Source organism: Homo sapiens, chromosome Y, assembly GCF_000001405.40.
Source record: "Homo sapiens chromosome Y, GRCh38.p14 Primary Assembly".
Lineage (NCBI taxonomy): Eukaryota > Metazoa > Chordata > Mammalia > Primates > Hominidae > Homo > Homo sapiens.
Genome location: NC_000024.10, coordinates 1,232,363 through 1,250,653, shown reverse-complemented (window position 1 = coordinate 1,250,653; position 18,291 = coordinate 1,232,363). Strand labels below are relative to the sequence as shown.

General features: G+C 53.6%; 3 annotated features.

The window, feature by feature from the left end:
* Window positions 1,614-2,123: an enhancer, noted in NCBI's record as "H3K27ac-H3K4me1 hESC enhancer chrY:1317424-1317933 (GRCh37/hg19 assembly coordinates)". NCBI's record gives its function as "activates a minimal SCP1, AML or CMV promoter by ChIP-STARR-seq in primed H9 embryonic stem cells {active_cell/tissue: H9 hESC(primed)}" and the evidence as "EXISTENCE:reporter gene assay evidence [ECO:0000049][PMID:30033119]".
* Window positions 1,614-2,141: a biological region, named in NCBI's record as "H3K27ac-H3K4me1 hESC enhancers GRCh37_chrX:1367406-1367922 and GRCh37_chrY:1317424-1317933".
* Window positions 1,625-2,141: an enhancer, noted in NCBI's record as "H3K27ac-H3K4me1 hESC enhancer chrX:1367406-1367922 (GRCh37/hg19 assembly coordinates)". NCBI's record gives its function as "activates a minimal SCP1, AML or CMV promoter by ChIP-STARR-seq in primed H9 embryonic stem cells {active_cell/tissue: H9 hESC(primed)}" and the evidence as "EXISTENCE:reporter gene assay evidence [ECO:0000049][PMID:30033119]".

The following is an 18,291-nucleotide window of genomic DNA, read 5'->3' as shown; positions in this document are numbered from 1 at the left end:
TCTATCATATCTGTAATGATCACTCATTATATCGGTCCATCTTCTCTTCCATCTATTATCTGTCTATCTGTCTATCTATCTTTCTATCTACTCCATCTATCTATCTATCTATCTATCTATCTATCTATCTATCTATCTATCTAGCTATCTATCTAGCTATCATCTATCTATGTATCATCTATCTATAACAGTGGTTCACAGGCCAGGGAGAATTCTACCCCCAGGGGAAACTTGGCAATGTCTAGAGACAATCACAAGAGAATGACAATCTGTGGACACCCTTGGTGTCAGTCCTGGGAAGTTTGCTCCTGGCCCCCGGTGTGTGGATCCCAGGACGGCTGCTCAACACCCACCAGTGCCCAGGACAGCCCCACCACAGAGAATCCTCCCGCTCCCAATGTCAGCAGTGCCGAGGTTGAGAATGCCCCATCCTGCATGTTGGGGACAATATCAGTTTGCTTTTCCCTTTTCTTTTTTTTCTTGAGATGGAGTCTCGCTCTGTCATCCAAGCTGGAGGGCAGTGGTGCGATCTCGGCTCACTGCAACTTCCGCCTCCCGGGTTCAAGCGATTCTCCTGCCTCAGCCTCCTCAGTAGCTGGGATTACAGGCACCCACCGCCATGCCCGGCTAATTTTTGTATTTTTAGTAGAGAAGGGGTTTCACTGTGTTGGCCAGGCTGGTCTCGAACTCATGACCTCGTGATCAGCCCACCTCAGCCTTAAAGTGCTGGGATGACAGGAGTGAGCCACCGTGCCAGCCTCAGTTTGTTTTTCTGCTGATACTGGCTCACTTTCCCTGTGGCCACACATTCTTCTGTCCACAGACCATCCCTCCAGCCACAGAAGGGAGGAGGGTGTGACCCCAACCCCTTATCTAGCAACAGAAGGAGCTGTGGTAGGGCAGCTCCTCAGAAGCCGGAAATCTGCAAGCTCTCGGGGGAGGGTGGAGCCCAGCGCGTTGTAACATCTCTTTTTCCCCGAAGAGGAAGCACAGACTATCAGGCCTGTTTCCAAATCTCAACTTCCTGACCCGGCTTACCTTCAGGCTTTAACAAGCTCCCAGCCTCCTCCTAGCTGGCTCTGGCTAAAGCTGGAGTCCAGGAACCTCAAATAGCCTAGAGGCTCTCTCCAGGGCTTGAGTAGCACCAGGAAGGGCCACGTGGTCTGCGCTGGACAGAGACCTTCCTGGGGTGCAACGTGACACTTCCTGCCCCAGAGGCAGCTCCAGCAGAAACAGCTGCAGGCATCCCCAGCAATCCTCATCCCAAGCTCCTTCCACAGCTCACAGCGTCCGTGATGCGGGATCAACACAACCTGCTGGCTATATTTGAGGCTTGCCAGATAGCCTGGCTCCTGCATTCTTGCCTCGGGATTCCCGTTGTGATCTGCTTTTTCCAGTCCTTTCTGGGACCCCTTTCATTGCTGACAGCCGCTGGGGGCTGAACCGGCCAGGGCTGAATCTGCAGACGTGTCCAAGGCGCGTCCCAGAGCAAGGGCTTGGTGGGGGGGGGGGTCAGGGACCCGGGGCCTGTCGTTTAATGAGCTCTCACGGACACTTTAAGCCCATTTATGCCGGAGGTTGCAAGTTTTTTTGGTGTAAAAAACCAGATCTTGGCGATGACCTTCAGCCTTCAGACAAGCTTAGCGTTCCAATAATGGAACGCTAGGCATACACGGGTTCCTCATGAGCTCTCCCCCCAGGAAAACCCGAAGGCTCAGGGGCGGCCTTTCTGCAGCTGAGGACACGCAGAGGCAGAAGACGGGAGACGCGCCTCGATCGCGGCCCCAAAGTATATACGTTGAGTTCCAAACGCCTCTGGTCTCCGGGAATGACGCCTCGTTTGGAATTAAGGCCCTTGCAGATGTAATTAGTTAAAAGAAAGGCGCCGGGGCCCAGCCGTTAATTCAGTACCGCCCGCGTGGAAATCCGAGCCTGGCTGCGCCTTTGGAATTCCAGGGGTGGGGGAGGGATTCCAGGGGTGGGGGAGGGATTCCTTTAACCCTTTCTTCTCCGGATCGCTAGTAACGAATCAAGCACCCAGGACAGTGAACCCTGCCAGAAACAAGAAGCAGAAAAGTGACAGCTGTGACTAACCCTGGAATCCCTCCCCTCCACCTCCACAAGAAAAGTCCGGGGTTTTCCGGCACCCCTCAACTCAAGGGGTGGGTAGTACAGGCTGTCTCCTCTCCTCTCCTCTCGTCTCCTCTCCTCTCCCCTCCTCTCGTCTAGTCTCCCCTCCCCTCCCCTCCCCTCCCCCCTCAACTCTACGAGTGGGTAATACAGGCTGTCCTCTTCTCTTTTCTTTTCTTCTCCCCCCTCCATTCCCCTCCCCTCCCCTCTCCTCCTCTCCCCTCCATTCCCCTCCCCTCCCTTTCCCCCTCAAGTCAACGGGTGGGTAGTACAGGCTCTTGTCCTCTCTTCTCCTCTCTTCTCTTCTCCCCTCCCCTCCCCTCCCCTCCCCTCCCCTATCCTCCCCTCCCCTATCCTCCCCTCCCCTATCCTCCCCTCCCCTCCCCTATCCTCCCCTCCCCTATCTTCCCCTCCCCTATCCTCCCCTCCCCTATCCTCCCCTCCCCTCCCCTCCTCTCCCCTCCTCTCCCCTCCCCTCTCCTCTCTTCTCTTCTCTTCACCCCTCAACTCAACGGGTGGGTAGTACAGGCTGTCTCTTCTCTTCTCTCTCTTTCTTTTTCTTTCTTTCTCTTTCTTTCTTTTCCTTCTTTCTTTCTCTCTCTCTCTCCCTCCCTCCCTCTCTCTCTCTCTCTCTCTCTCTCCTTCCTTCCTTCCTTCCTCCGTCCCTCCCTCCCTTCTTTCTTTCTTGAGATTCTTTTCTTTTCTTTTTTGAGATAGAGTTTTGCTCCTGTTGCCCAGGCTGGAGTACAATGGCGCGATCTCGGCTCACGGCAACCTCCGTCTCCCAGGTTCAAGCGATTCTCCTGCCTCAGCCTCCCGAGTAGCTGGGATTACAGGTGTGCACCACCACGCCCAGCTAATTTTTTGTATTTTTAGTAGAGACGGGGTTTCTCCATGTTGGCCAGGCTGGTCTCGAACTCCTGATCTCTGGTGATCCACCCACCTCAGCCTCCCAAAGTGCTGGGATTACAGGCGTGAGCCACCGCGCCTGGCTCGAATAATTTCTTGCACGACATCCAAGAACCCTCTGTTGAGGTCTGCATTGGGACCCCTTACACTGTGGGTTTTTTTTTTTTTTTTTTTGATGGAGTCTCGCTTTGTTGCTCAGGCTGGAGTGCAGTGGCGCGATCTTGGCTCGCTGCATCCTCTGCTTCCTGAGTTCAATCGATTCTCCTGTCTCAGCCTCCCGAGTAGCTGGGATTACAGGCACCCGCCACCACCCCCGGCTAATTTTTTGTATTTTTAGTACAGACGGGGTTTCACCATGTTGGTCAGGCTGGTCTCGAACTCCTGAGCTTGTGATCCGCCCGCCTGATTTTTTTTTTTTTTTAGAGCACTGTAAGCTCCGCCTCCCTGGTCATGCCATTCTCCTGCCTCAGCCTCCCGGTAGCAGTGACTACAGGCGCCTGCCACCACCCCCGGCTAATTTTTTGTATTTTTAGTAGAGACAGGGTTTCACCATGTTGACCAGGCTGGTCTCGAACTCCTGACCTCGTGATCCGCCCGCCGGATTTTTATTACCGTATTTATTCAAATCCCGGAACCTTAAGCCACGCAATTTCTTTTTGGGGACTCGACTGCCACCTGCTGGCCATGCCTATGTTTGCAGGCGTGCGGTGCCGGGAGAATGAGGCTTGGAGTCCTCATTTGTAGGGTGTGTAGTTTCTTGGGGTGGACAGAACAAACCGAGGGCCTTAAAACAACTGGAATGTATCCTCTCTGAGGCCTGCAGACCAGGAGTCTTGAGATCCAGGTGTCTCAGGACTGTGCTCCCTCTGGAGGCTCTAGGGGAGGGTCCTTCCTGCCTCTCCCAGCTCCTGGGGGCTCCAGGCGTCCCTGGGTTTGTGGCCGCCTCACTGCAGTCTCTGTCACCATCTCCACGTGGCCTCCTCTGTGTCTGTGTCTCCTCTTTGTCTCTTATGGGGTCACCCCTCATTGGATTTAGAGTCCAACTCCAATGCAAGGCGATTTCATTTTGAGATCCTTCCCTTAAACACATCTGCAAAGACCCTATTTCCAAATGAGGTCCTATTCACGGATTCTAAGGTTTAGGACCTGGACATGTCTTTGGGGGATCCCCATTCAACCCACTGCAGTTTGGTTTGGTTCCTTTTAGAAGCTCTAGGGGAGGATCCTTCCTGCCTCTTCGAGCTCCTGGGGGCTCCAGGCGTCCCTGGGACTGTGGCCACCTCACTGCAGTCTCTGCCTCCGTCTCCACGTGGCCTCCTCCCCTGTCTGTGTCTCCTCTTCTGTCTCTTTTTTTTTTTTTTTTTTTTTTGAGATGGAGTCTCACTCTGTCGCCAGGCTGGAGTGCAGTGGCTCGATCTTGACTCACTGCAACCTCCGCCTGCCGGGTTCAAGCGATTCTCCTGCCTCAGCCTCTGGAATAGCTGGAATTACAGGCGCCTGCCACCACGCCCAGCTAATTTTTGTATTTTTAGTAGAGACAGGGTTTCACCATGTTGGCCAGGCTGGTCTCGATCTCCTGGCCTCAGGTGATCCGCCTGCCTCGGGCTCCCAAAGTGCTGGGATTACAAGCGTGAGCCACCGCGCCCGGCCCCTTCTGTCTCTTAGACCTACACTCATGGGATTTATGACTCACCTTAATCAAAAATGATGTCATCTCAATTTACATTTTAATTACATTTCCAAATAAGGTCCCAATATTCACAGAGACTGGAAGTTGGGAACTCAACGTACATTTCACCCCTTAACAAATTATCCTGCTGCATCTCCCATCTTCTGCTTCTTCTGCTCGTCGTCGGCCACGGAAAGGCTGCCCTGGAGCTTTCAAGTTTGCCTGGCTGGAGAGCTCATTAATAACCCGTTTATAGGCTGGGCGCAGTGGCTCACGCCTGTCATCCTAGCACTTTGGGAGGCCAAGGCAGGTGGATCACCTGAGGCCAGGAGTTCGAGACCAGCCTGGCCAACATGGTGAAACCCTGTCTCTACTAAAAATACAAAAAAAAAAAAAAAAAAAAAAAAAATTAGCAGGGCATGGTGGTGGGCGCCTGTAGTCCCAGCTACTCGGGAGGCTGAGGCAGGAGAATCACTTGAACCCGGGAGGTGGAGCTTGCAGTGAGCCGAGATGGTGCCATTGCACTCCAGCCTGGGGGACAGAGCCAGACTCTGTCTCAAAAAATAAAAAATAATAAAAAATAACCCGTTTATAGGCCGGGCGCGGTGGCTCACGCCTGTCATCCCAGCACTTTGGGAGGCCGAGGCGGGTGGATCACCTGAGGCCAGGAGTTCGAGACCAGCCTGGCCAACATGGTGAAACCCCGTCTCTACTTAAAAGACAAAAGTTAGCCGTGTGTAGTGGCAGCTGCCTGTAATCCCAGCTACTCGGGAGGCTGAGGCAGGAGAATCGCTCGAACCCGGGAGGCGGAGGTTGCAGTGAGCGGAGATCATGCCATTGCACTCCAGCCTGGGTGACACAGCGAGATTCGGTCTCAAAAAAAAGAAAAAAGGAATTACAGGCATGAGCCACGTTGCCCGGCCATAGATGGGTTTAAAGCGTCTCTGCAGAGTTCATTAAACTGCAGGCCCCCAGGCCCCCTGAGCCCACCCAGCCCTTGCTCAGGGACACGCCTTTAATTTGGAAGTTTTGGACACTAGGGGTCAGAAGCATCCTCTGCAAATTCAGCTTTGGCTGGCTCAGCCCCCCCCAGCAGCTGTCGGCGATGAAAGGGCCGCAGGAGGGGCTGGAAAAGCCTCTCTGTATCCCGCAGCACTTGGAGACCCAGTGTCCCCCGGGGCTGGAGTCAAGCTGTCTCGCCAGCCTCAAAGGTGACCAGAGGCTTGTGTTAATCCCACACCTGGGACGCAGTGAGCTGTGGAAGGAATTTAGGATGAGGATACCTGGGATGTCTGGGGCTCTCCCTTCCCTTCCCTTCCCTTCCCTTCCCTTCCCTCCCCTTCCCTCCCCTCCCCTCCCCTCCCCTCCCCTCCCCTCCCCTCCCTCTCTTTCCCTCCCTCCTTCCTTCCTTTCTCTTTCTTTTTCTTTCTCCTTCCTTCCTTTCTTCTTCTTTCCTTTCTCTTTCTCTTTCTTTCTTTCCTTCCTTCTCCTTCCTTCCCTTCCCTTTCCTTCCTTCCTCCCTTTTCTTTCTTTCTCTTTCTTTCCTTCCTTCTTCCTTCCCTTCACATTCCTTCCTTCCTCTCTTTCCCTCCCTCCCTGCTTCCTTCCTTTCTTTTCTTTCTTTCATTCTTTTTTCTCTGTTTCTTTCTCCTTCTTTCCTTCATTTCTTTCTCTCTTTCTCTTTCTTTCTTTCTCTCTTTCTGTCTTTCTTTCTCTTCCTCCTTCTTTTCTTTGGAGCCTTGCTCTCTCACTCAGGCTGTACTGCAATGGCACAATCTCGGCTCACTGCAACCTCCGCCTCCCGGGTTCACGCCATTCTCCTGCATCAGCCTCCTGGGTAGCTGGGATTACAGGCACCCGCCACCACGCCTGGCTAATTTTTTGTGTTTTCGGTAGAGACGGGGTTTCACCAAGTTGGCCAGGCTGGTCTCGAACTCCTGACCACGTGATCCGCCTGCCTCAGCCTCCCAAAGTGCTGGGATTACAGGCGTGAGCTACCGCGCCCAGCTAGGAAGGTCTCTTTCTGGGAACTACCTCCCTGTTGAGCCAAGCCCAGGAGAGCCTTTGTGTTTTACGTGCTGGACCTTTAGCCAAAGCCCATTAGAAAGAGGCTGGGAGCTTGTTACCACGTGAGGGTTTCAGAAATTCATTCTGAACTGACAACTTGCACAGGTATCCCCTGGCCCCCTCAGACAGTACCCCTTCCTGACTGGATACCCCCGGCGGTATTTGAACCAGCTGTGAAAATCTAGGTAGCTTGCTTTTTTTTTTTTTTTTTTAATGGAGTTTTCACTCTTGTTGCCCAGGCTGGAGTGCAGCGGCGTGATCTCAGCTCACTGCAACCTCCGCCTCCCGGGTTCAAGCGATTCTCCTGCCTCAGCCTCCCAAGTAGCTGAGATTACAGGTGCCCACCACCACATCTGGCTGATTTTTGTATTTTTAGTAGAGACGGGGTTTCACCATGTTGGCCAGGCTGGTCTCAAACTCCTGACCTTTGGTGATCCACCCGCCTCAGCCTCCCAAAGTGCTGGGATGACAGGCGTGAGCTGCTTGTGAGTTGCTTGTTGTTTCTATTTCCTGGTGTTTGCAGAACCGGCTCTGCCTGAAAACTCTCAGCGTCCTTATCTCCTGGAGTTATCTTGTATGTTGGTGCCTTGGAAACCCCCTTCCCACCTCCAGCACTTGGCTTGAAAAATCTTCACAAGAAAAGAGAAATCAGATGCCTTCAAGAAGGCCAGGACGCTCTCTGGTTTGCTAAGTTTTGACAAAACATCCTGGGCTGGGAGACCCGCAAACCGGGGTGTAACTCCCACATGCTGGGTCCTTCCTGGGCGGGGAGGGTGGGGGGACCTTCCTGGGTTGGGGAGCCTCCCAGTACCTTTGCCAGCCAGCCCCCCTGCTCTTTCCTCCTGTGGGGTTCGGCCCTAGGCCTCAGGGCATATTCTCACACCCCGAAAGCAAGCACTGAGTGGGAAGCCACAGGTGGGATGACTCAGCTGGGAAGAGGAGGGTTGCTGTGTGTTTTTGTTTTTTTTTAAATTTTTTTCAGATGGAGTTTCACTCTTGTTGCCCAGGCTGGAATGCACTGATGCGATCTCGGCTCACTGCAACCTCCGCCTCCCGGGTTCAAGCGATTCTCCTGCCTCAGCTTCCCGAGTAGCTGGTATTACAGGCGCCTGCCACCATGCCTGGCTAATTTTTGTATTTTTAGGAGTGACAGGGTTTCACCATGTTAGTCAGGCTGGTCTCGAACTCTGACCTCAAGTGATTCACCTGCCTCGGCCTCCCAAACTGCTGGGATTACAGGCGTGAGCCGCCGCGCCTGGCCCTTTTTATTTTACTTATTTTTATTTTTTGTATTGTTTTGAGGCGGACTTTTGCTCTTGTTGTCCAGGCTGGAGTGCAGTGGTGCGATCTCAGCTCACTGCAACCTCTGCGTCCTAGGTTCAGGTGATTCTCCTGCCTCAGCCTCCCGAGTAGCTGGGATTACAGGTGACCGCCAAAAACCCTGGCTAATTTTTGTATTTTTAGGAGTGACGGGGGTTTCACCATGTTAGTCAGGCTGGTCTCGAACTCTGATCTCAAGTGATTCACCTGCCTTGGCCTCCCAAACTGCTGGGATTACAGGCGTGAGCCACCGCGCCTGGCCCTTTTTATTTATTTACTTATTTTTATTTTTTTTATTTTTTTGAGGCGGACTTTCGCTCTTGTTGCCCAGGCTGGAATGCACTGGTGCGATCTCGGCTCACTGCAACCTCCGCCTCCCGGGTTCAAGAGATTCTCCTGCTTCAGCCTCCCGAGTAGCTGGTATTACAGGCGCCTGCCACCATGCCTGGCGAATTTTTGTATTTTTAGGAGTGACGGGGTTTCACCATTTAGTCAGGCTGATCTCAAACTCCTGACCTCAAGTGATTCACCTGCCTTGGCCTCCCAAAGTGCTGGGATTACAGGTGTGAGCCACCGTGCCCAGCCCTATTCATTTATTTATTTATTTAATTTAATTAAATAATTTATTATTTATTTTGAGGCAGACTTTCGCTCTTGTTGCCCAGGCTGGAGTGCAGTGGCGTGATCTCAGCTCACTGCAACCTCTGCCTCCCGGGTTCAAGTGATTCTCCTGCCCCAGCCTCCCTAATAGCTGGGATGACAGGCATGCGTCACCACGCTTGGCTAATTTTATTTATTTATTATTATTTTTAAAATATATTTTTCTAAGACAGAGTGTTGCTCTGTCACCCAGGCTGGAGTGCAGGAGTGCAATGGCGTGATCTGGGCTCACTGCAACCTCTGTCTCCTGGGTTCAAGCGATTCTCCTGCCTCAGCCTCCCGAGTAGCTGGGATGACAGGTGCCCGCCACCACGCCTGGCTAATTTTTGTATTTTTAGTAGAGACGGGGTTTCACCGTGTTAGCCAGGCTGGTCTCAAACTCCTGACCTCAAGTGATCCGCCTGTCTTGGCCTCCCAAACTGTCGGGATTACGGGCATGAGACACCGCGCCCGGCCCACAGTTCCAGGAAAAAATGCAGGAGAGAAAATGTGATGAGGTTACTGCATTTCTGATCGTCACCCCATGGATGGTCTTCACCCCAAATCTCCATCCCTCAGAGAGAGACCCCCACTCACCCCAAATCTCCATCCCTCAGAGAGAGACCAACACTCACCCCAAATCTCCATCCCTCAGAGAGACCCCCATTCACCCCAAATCTCTATCCCTCAGGGACCCCCCCACTTACCCCAAATCTCCATCCCTCAGAGAGAGACCCCACTCACCCCAAATCTCTATCCCTCACAGAGACCCCCGCTCACCCCAAATCTCCATCCCTCAGAGAGAGACCCCACTCACCCCAAATCTCTATCCCTCACAGAGACCCCCGCTCACCCCAAATCTCCATCCCTCAGAGAGACCCCCATTCACCCCAAATCTCTATCCCTCAGGGACCCCCCCACTTACCCCAAATCTCCATCCCTCAGAGAGATCCACACTCACCCCAAATCTCCATCCCTCAGAGAGAGACCCCACTCACCCCAAATCTCTATCGCTCACAGAGACCCCTGCTCACCCCAAATCTCCATCCCTCAGAGAGAGACCCCCCACTCACCCCAAATCACCCCTCCTGCAGAGGCCTTCACTCACCCCAAATCTCCACCATGCTCCAGAGACCCCACTCAGCCGGCGAACTCCGCGAGGCTGGGGCCGTGATCCTCTGGGATGGGGCCGTGGCCGACTGTTCAGTGGTCCTAGGCAATTCAGGGATCTTTATGGATGTCTTGTCTTGTCTTTTCTTTTTCTTTTCTTTTTTTTTTGAGATGGAGTCTCGCTTTGTCACCAGGCTGGAGTGCAGTGGTGTAATCTTGGCTCACTGTAACCTCCACCTTCCAGGTTCAAGCGATTCTTCTGCCTCAGCCTCCCGAGTAGCTGGGATTACAGGCACATGCCAGCACGCCCGGCTGATTTTTGTATTTTTAGTAGAGATGGGGTTTCACTGTGTTGGTCAGGCTGGTCTCGAACTCCTGACCTCAGGTGATCCACCCGCCTCGGCCTCCCAACGTGCTGGGATGACAGGCGTGAGCCACTTCTCCCGGCCTAATTTTTGTATTTTTAATAGAGACAGGTTTTTGCCATGTTGTCCAGCTGGTCTCAAACTCCTGACCTCAGGCTGAGGTGATCCACCCGCCTCAGCCTCCTAGAGTGCTGGGATTACAGGTGTGAGCCACTGTGCCCGGCCTAATTTTTGTATTTTTAATAGACACAGGTTTTTGCCATGTTGGTCAGGCTGGTCTCAAACTCCTGACCTTAGGTGATCCACCCGCCTCGGCCTCCCAAAGTGCTGGGATCACAGGTGTGACTCACCGCGCCTGGCCAGAGTTTGGCTCTTTTTTTTCTTGACAACACCCAGCACCAGAGGACGGGTCTGGAGGCTTCCCTGTCGTATCCGTGCGTCAGCGCCGTGGGTGGGTGGGAATATTCCTAGAAGATACTGCTATCATCATGGGAGGCCAGACCGCAGTGAGCCAGGCCTGGCCGTGACGTTGGAACCCACGGGCAGATCCCTCAAAGACCACATGCAAATCAACTGCAGGTCAACTTCCCTGTCTCAGCTCCCCAGAACCCCACCTCTGCCCCGGGGCCGCCCGGCATACGGGGAACTTAGGCAGAGGGGAAGTGGGAGTGGAGAGAAACCGCAGCTAAATGGAGCCGAAATGTCTCATTTTGGCAAATTTTCCAAAGCCCGGGATCCTCTGAAGTTACGCCCTTCCCAGACCGCAAGACGAGCCGGCCTCCTGGTTAATTCACCTGTCTCTTACTTTTGTGTTTTTTTAATTTTTTTTAATTAATTTATGTTTATTTTTATTTTTTGAGACAGAGTCTCACTCTGTCGCCCAGGCTGGAGTGCAGTGGTGCGATCTCAGCTCACTGCAACCTCCGCCTCCCGGGTTTAGCCATTCTCTTGCCTCAGCCTCCCGAGTAGCTGGGACTACAGGTGCCCGCCACCACGCCCGGCTAATTTTTTGTATTTTTAGTAGAGACGGGGTTTCACTATGTTGGCCAGGCTGGTCTCGAACTCCTGACTTCGTGATCCACCCTCCTCGGCCTCCCAAAGTGCTGGGATGACAGGCGTGAGCCACTGCGCCCGACCGAATATTTTTTTTTTATGTTTGAGGATGAGTGGGTTTTTCATTGCAATGACAGGTCTCAGTACATTTATTTTATTTATTTATTTATTCATTTATTTTAATTTTGTTTTGAGACAGAGCTCTCTGTTGCCCAGGCTGCAGTACAACGGTGTGATCTCGGCTCACTGCAACCTCTGCCTCCGGGGTTCAAGCGATTGTCCTGTCTCAGCCTCCCGAGTAGCTGGGATTACAGGCGTGCACCACCACGCCCAGTTCATTTTGTATTTTTAGTAGAGACGGGGTTTCACCAGGTTGATCCGGCTGGTCTCCAACTCCCGACCTCAGGGGATCAGCCCACCTTGGCCTCCCTAAGTGCTGGGATTACAGGCATGAGCCACCGTGCCCGGCCTTTATTTTATTTATTATTTTATTTTTTGGAGACAGAGTCTCGCTCTGTCGCCCAGGCTGGAGTGCAATGACGTGATCTCGGCTCACTGCAACTTCCACCTCCCTGGTTCAAGCGATTCTCCTGCCTCAGCCTCCCGAGTAGCTGGGATGACAGGCGCCCACCACTACGCCCAGCTAATTTTTGTATTTTTAGTAGAGACGGGGTTTCTCCAGGTTGGTCAGGCTGGTCTCTAACTCCCAACCTCAGGTGATCCACCCGCCTCGGCCTCACTAAATGCTGGGATGACAGGCATGAGCCACCGCACCCGGCCTGTTTTATTTTATTTTTTGAGATGGAGTTTCAGTCTTGTCATCCAGGCTGGAGTGCAGTGGTGTGATCTCGGCTCACTGCAACCTCCATCTCCTGGGTTCAAGTGATTCTCCTGTCTCAGCCTCCCAAGCAGCTGGGATTACAGGCACCTGCCACCACGCCTGGTTAATTTTTTTTATTGTTTTCTTTTGAGGCAGAGTCTAACTCTGTTACCCAGGCTGGAGTGCAGTGGTATGATCTTGGCTCACTGCAACCTCTGCCTCCGGGTTCAAGAGATTCTCCTGTCTCAGCCTCCTGGATAGCTGGGATTACAGGCACCCGCCACCACACCCGGCTAATTTTTGTATTTTTAGTAGAGATGGGGTTTCACCATGTTGACCAGGCTGGTCTTGAACTCCTGACCTCAGGTGATCCGCCCACCTTGGCCTCCCAAATTGCTGGGATTACAGGCGTGAGCCCCCATGCCCGGCCGCAGGTCTCAGTTAATTTAGAAAGTTTATTTTGCCAAGGTTGAGGACGTGAAGATTCGTCCCTGTGACGCAGCCTCAGAAGGTCCTGATGACAGATGCCGAGGGTGGTCCGGGCGCAGCTTGGTTTCATACATTTTAGGGAGATGTGAAACATCCATCAGTGTGGGTAAGATGAACATTGCTTCAGTGTAGAAAGGCGGGGGATAAGGCCGGGAGTGGTGGCTCACGTGTGTAATCCCACCACCCACCACCAAGCCTGGCTAATTTTTGTATTTTTATTTATTTTTATTTATTTATTAATTTTTGTATTTTTTGTATTTATTTTTTTTGTATTATTTATTTAATTTTTGTATTTTTATTTATTTTGTATTTTATTTTATTTGTATTTTATTTTATTTATTTTGTATTTTTATTTATTTTGTTTTTTATTTTTTCAATAGAAACTGTGCTACTTTATTAAAATACTGAGTTTTATTTCACATGTATGTTTTTGTCTCCCCACCATTTCCACGTCTGACCACTGCTACGACTATGTACTATCGTAAGATTCCGTACGTACTTAACACCAAGCAAAGGTGGCCGGGCGCGGTGGCTCACGCCTGTCATCCCAGCACTTTGGGAGGCCGAGGCGGGTGGATCACGAGGTCAGGAGATCGAGACCAGCCTGGCCAACATGCTGAAACCCCGTCTCTACTAAAAATACAAAAATTAGCCGGCCGTGGTGGCGGGCGCCTGTAGTCCCAGCTACTCAGGAGGCTGAGGCAGGAGAATGGCGTGAACCCGGGAGGCGGAGGTTGCAGTGAGCTGAGATCACGCCACTACACTCCAGCCTGGGCGACAGAACGAGAGTCCGTCAAAAAGAAGAAGAAGAAAAAGCAAAGAGTGGAGTTCCATCTTTAAAAACTAAACAGGCATCTTGGACAACACATTCTTGGCAACGGAACCAGGACATTTCTCAAACATGGTAGGGAAAGTTCTTACTCTGCATTGTAAAAAGGACAGCCAGATATCAACTGCTACAGAAATGAAATAAGATGGAAAATTTTTAACAAATTGTTTAACCTATTTTCTTTTTTTTTTTGTTTGTTTTTTGTTTTTTGTTTTTTGTTAATTTTTTTTTTATTGATAATTCTTGGGTGTTTCTCACAGAGGGGGATTTGGCAGGGTCATGGGACAATAGTGGAGGGAAGGTCAGCAGATAAACAAGTGAACAAAGGTCTCTGGTTTTCCTAGGCAGAGGACCCTGCGGCCTTCCGCAGTGTTTGTGTCCCTGGGTACTTGAGATTAGGGATTGGTGATGACTCTTAACGAGCATGCTGCCTTCAAGCATCTGTTTAACAAAGCACATCTTGCACCACCCTCAATCCATTCAACCCTGAGTGGACACAGCACATGTTTCAGAGAGCACAGGGTTGGGGGGTAAGGTCACAGATCAACAGGATCCCAAGGCAGAAGAATTTTTCTTAGTGCAGAACAAAATGAAAAGTCTCCCATGTCTACCTCTTTCTACACAGACACGACAACCATCTGATTTCTCAATCTTTTCCCCCTTTCCCCCCTTTCTATTCCACAAAACCGCCATCGTCATCATGGCCCGTTCTCAATGAGCTGTTGGGCACACCTCCCAGACGGGCCCAGAGGGCAGAGGGGCTCACTTCCCAGTAGGGGCGGCCGGGCAGAGGCGCCCCTCACCTCCCGGACGGGGCGGCTGGCCGGGCAGAGGGGCGCCTCACTTCCCAGTAGGGGCGGCCGGGCAGAGGCGCCCCTCACTTCCCGGACGGGGCGGCTGGCCGGGCGGGGGACTGACCCCCCCCACCTCCCTCCCGGACAGGGCGGCTGGCCGGGCAGAGGGGCTCCTCACTTCCCAGTAGGGGCGGCCGGGCAGAGGCGCCCCTCACTTCCCGGACGGGGCGGCTGGCCGGGCGGGGGACTGACCCCCCCCACCTCCCTCCCGGACGGGGCGGCTGGCCGGGCAGAGGGGCTCCTCACTTCCCAGTAGGGGCGGCCGGGCAGAGGCGCCCCTCACCTCCCGGACGGGGCGGCTGGCCGGGCGGGGGGCTGACCCCCCCACCTCCCTCCCGGACGGGGCGGCTGGCCGGGGAGGGGGCTGTCCCCCCCACCTCCCTCCCCGACGGGGCGGCTGGCCGGGCAGGGGGCTGTCCCCCCCACCTCCCTCCCCGACGGGGCGGCTGGCCGGGCGGGGGCTGACCCCCCCCCACCTCCCTCCCGGACGGGGCGGCTGGCCGGGCGGGGGGCTGACCCCCCCACCTCCCTCCCGGACGGGGCGACTGGCCGGGCGGGGGCTGACCCCCCCACCTCCCTCCCGGACGGGGCGACTGGCCGGGCGGGGGCTGACCCCCCCCCACCTCCCTCCCCGACGGGGCGGCTGGCCGGGCAGGGGGCTGACCCCCCCACCTCCCTCCCGGACGGGGCGACTGGCCGGGCGGGGGCTGACCCCCCCACCTCCCTCCCGGACGGGGTGGCTGGCCGGGCGGGGGGCTGACCCCCCACCTCCCTCCCGGACGGGGTGGCTGCCGGGCGGAGACGCTCCTCACTTCCCAGATGGGGTGGCTGCCGGGCGGAGAGGCTCCTCACTTCTCAGATGGGGTGGTTGCCAGGCAGAGGGTCTCCTCACTTCTCAGACGGGGCGGCCGGGCAGAGACGCTCCTCACATCCCAGACGGGGTCTCGGCCGGGCAGAGGCGCTCCTCTCATCCCAGATGGGGCGGCGGGGCAGAGGCGCTCCCCACATCTCAGACGATGGGCGGCCGGGCAGAGACGCTCCTCACTTCCTAGATGTGATGGCGGCCGGGAAGAGGCGCTCCTCACTTCCTAGATGGGATGGCAGCCGGGCGGAGACGCTCCTCACTTTCCAGACTGGGCAGCCAGGCAGAGGGGCTCCTCACATCCCAGACGATGGGCGGCCAGGCAGAGACACTCCTCACTTCCCAGATGGGGTGGCAGCCGGGCAGAGGCTGCAATCTCAGCACTTTGGGAGGCCAAGGCAGGCGGCTGGGAGGTGGAGGTTGTAGCGAGCCGAGATCATGCCACTGCACTCCAGCCTGGGCACCATTGAGCACTGAGTGAACGAGACTCCCAAGCTATTTTCTTAAAGGAAAAATATGGCCGGGCGGGGTGGCTCACACCTGTAATCCCAGCACTTTGGGAGGCCGAGGCAGACGGATCACTTGAGGTCAGGAGTTCGACACCAGCCTGGCCAGCATGGTGAAACCCCATCTCTTCTAAAAATACAAAAATTAGCCAGGTGTGGTGGCGGGGGCCTATCATTCCAGCTACTAGGGAGGCTGGGGCAGGAGAATCACTTGAACCCGGGAGGTGGAGGTTGCGGTGATCCGAGATCATGCCACTGCACTCCAGCCTGGGCGACAGAACGAAACTCTGTCCCAGAAAAAAAATAAAAAAAAAGATAAAAGATTGTGAATTCAGATCAAGGTTCTTTTGAAATCCTAAGGTGGCTGCCCTTAGAGACAATAGATGACAAATGTTTCCTATTCAGACCTTTATTATTTATATATTTATTTACTTATTTTTTAAATTTTTTTGAGATGGAGTCTCGCTCTGTGGCCCAGGCCGGAGTGCAGTGGCACGATCTCTGCTCATTGTAACCTCCGCCTCCCGGATTCACACCATTCTCCTGCCTCGGCCTCCTGAGTAGCTGGGACTGCAGGCACCCTCCACGCCCGGCTAATTTTTTGTATTTTTAGTAGAGATGAGGTTTCACCCTGTTAGCCAGGATGGTCTCGATCTCCTGACCTCATGATCCGCCCGCCTCGACCTCCCAAAGTGCTGGGATGACAGGCGTGAGCCACCGCGCCCGGCCCTATTCAGACCTTTAAAAGCTGCTAGACTCTCCGCTAATGTCTTCAGGATTGGGAGGGCCTGGAAGAAAAAGATCTAACTACGTCAAAAGAGATTCTTTACAGATGCCAGTTTCCCCCCACAAAGGACAGCTCTGCGGGGCCATTTCCAAATATAGCAAAGGAACATGTTTGGGGGCAAAATATTTTGCCTTGCTTCTTTGTCACATAATGTGATACCACAGCCCGACCGTAAAGTAAGTCATGATATATAGCGATAAATAAAACCCACTGAATGAAAACTTATGATTTGTAAGGCGTGACTCCTGATTACACAGGAACTTGGGCAAGATAAAGAATCAGATCTTAGTCCTCGGTGTCAATGTACCACCTTCTTCTTTTCTGTTTTTTTTTTTTTTTTTTTCTTTTTGACAGTATCTCACTCTTTCGCCCAGGCTGGAGTGCAGTGGTGCGATCTCGGCTCAGTGCAACCTCCACCTCCCGGGTTCAAGAGATTCTCCTGTCTCAGCCTCCCGAGTAGGTGGGACTACAGGTGCGTGCCACCATTCCCAGCCTAATGTACCACATTTTCTTTTTTTCTTTCCTTTTTTTTTTTTTTTTGGCGCTCTGTCCCCCAGGCTGGACTGCGGTGGCGCGATCTGGGCTCACCGCAAGCTCCGCCTCCCGGGTTCACACCATTCTCCTGCCTCAGCCTCCCGAGTAGCTGGGACGACAGGCGTCCGCCACCACGCCGGGCTGATTTTTTGTATTTTTAGTAGAGACGGGGTTTCACCGTGTTAGCCAGGCTGGTCTCCTGTTACCCAGGATGGTCTCGATCTCCTGACCTGGTGATCCACCCATCTCGTCCTCCCAAAATGCTGGGATTACAGGTGTGAGCCACTGCACCCGGCCTCTAATGTACCGCATTTTCTTTATCCAATGGTGGTTGCATCTTTTCCTTCCTTCCTTCCTTCCTTCTTTCCTTCCTTCCTTCCCTCCCTCCCTCCCTTCCTTCTTTTTTTTTTCTGACGGAGTTTTGCTCTTTCACCGAGGATGGAGTGCAATGGTGCAATCCCGGCTCACTGCAACCTCTGCCTCCTGGGTTCAAGTGATTCTCCTGCCTCAGCCTCCTGAGTAGCTGGGAATACAGGCACCCACCACCACGCCCGGCTAATTTTTGTATTTTTAGCGGACACGGGGTTTCACTATGTTGGCCAGGCTGGTCTCGATCTCCTGGCCTCGTGATCAGCCCGCCTCGGCCTCCCAAAGTGCTGGGATTACACGCATGAGCCTTGGCGTCTAGCGTAGTTTATCAATAATGTTATACTATCCCTTCCCTTCTCATTCACCATGCCCCTTGCAAACCCCCTCCCGTGCTAACAATAGAGAACCACGTTTTGCTGTAATTTTCCATTACCTACCCAACTCCTATAAAGCCACAACTTCCCCATCTCCCTTCGCTGACCGTCTCTTCGGACTCAGCCTACTTGCACCCGAGTGAACAAACAGCTTTATTTTGCTCACACAAAGCACCTGGCCAGTGGTTGCCTCTTATCTTGGACATTTCACCTCGCTGGTGTTTAGATCACACGTTTGTAATGCAGGCACGGATCGGCCGGGCGCAGTGACTCACGCCTGTAATCCCAGGACTTTGGGAGGCCGAGGCGGGCGGATCACGAGGTCAGGAGTTTGAGACCAGCCTGGCCAACATGGTGAAACCCCGTCTCTACTAAAAATATAAAAAATTAGCTGGGTGTGTGGGTATGCACCTGTAATCCCAGCTACTCGGGAGGCTGAGGCAGGAGAGTTGCTTGAACCCGGGAGGTGGAGGTTGCAGTGAGCTGAGATCGCGCCCCTGCACTCCAGCCTGGGCGACAGAGCGAGAGTCCGTCCCGAAAAAAAGAAAATACAGTCACAGATTCAGGTCTCCCTGACAAGTCTGTAGTAGGGAGCGAATAAAGCC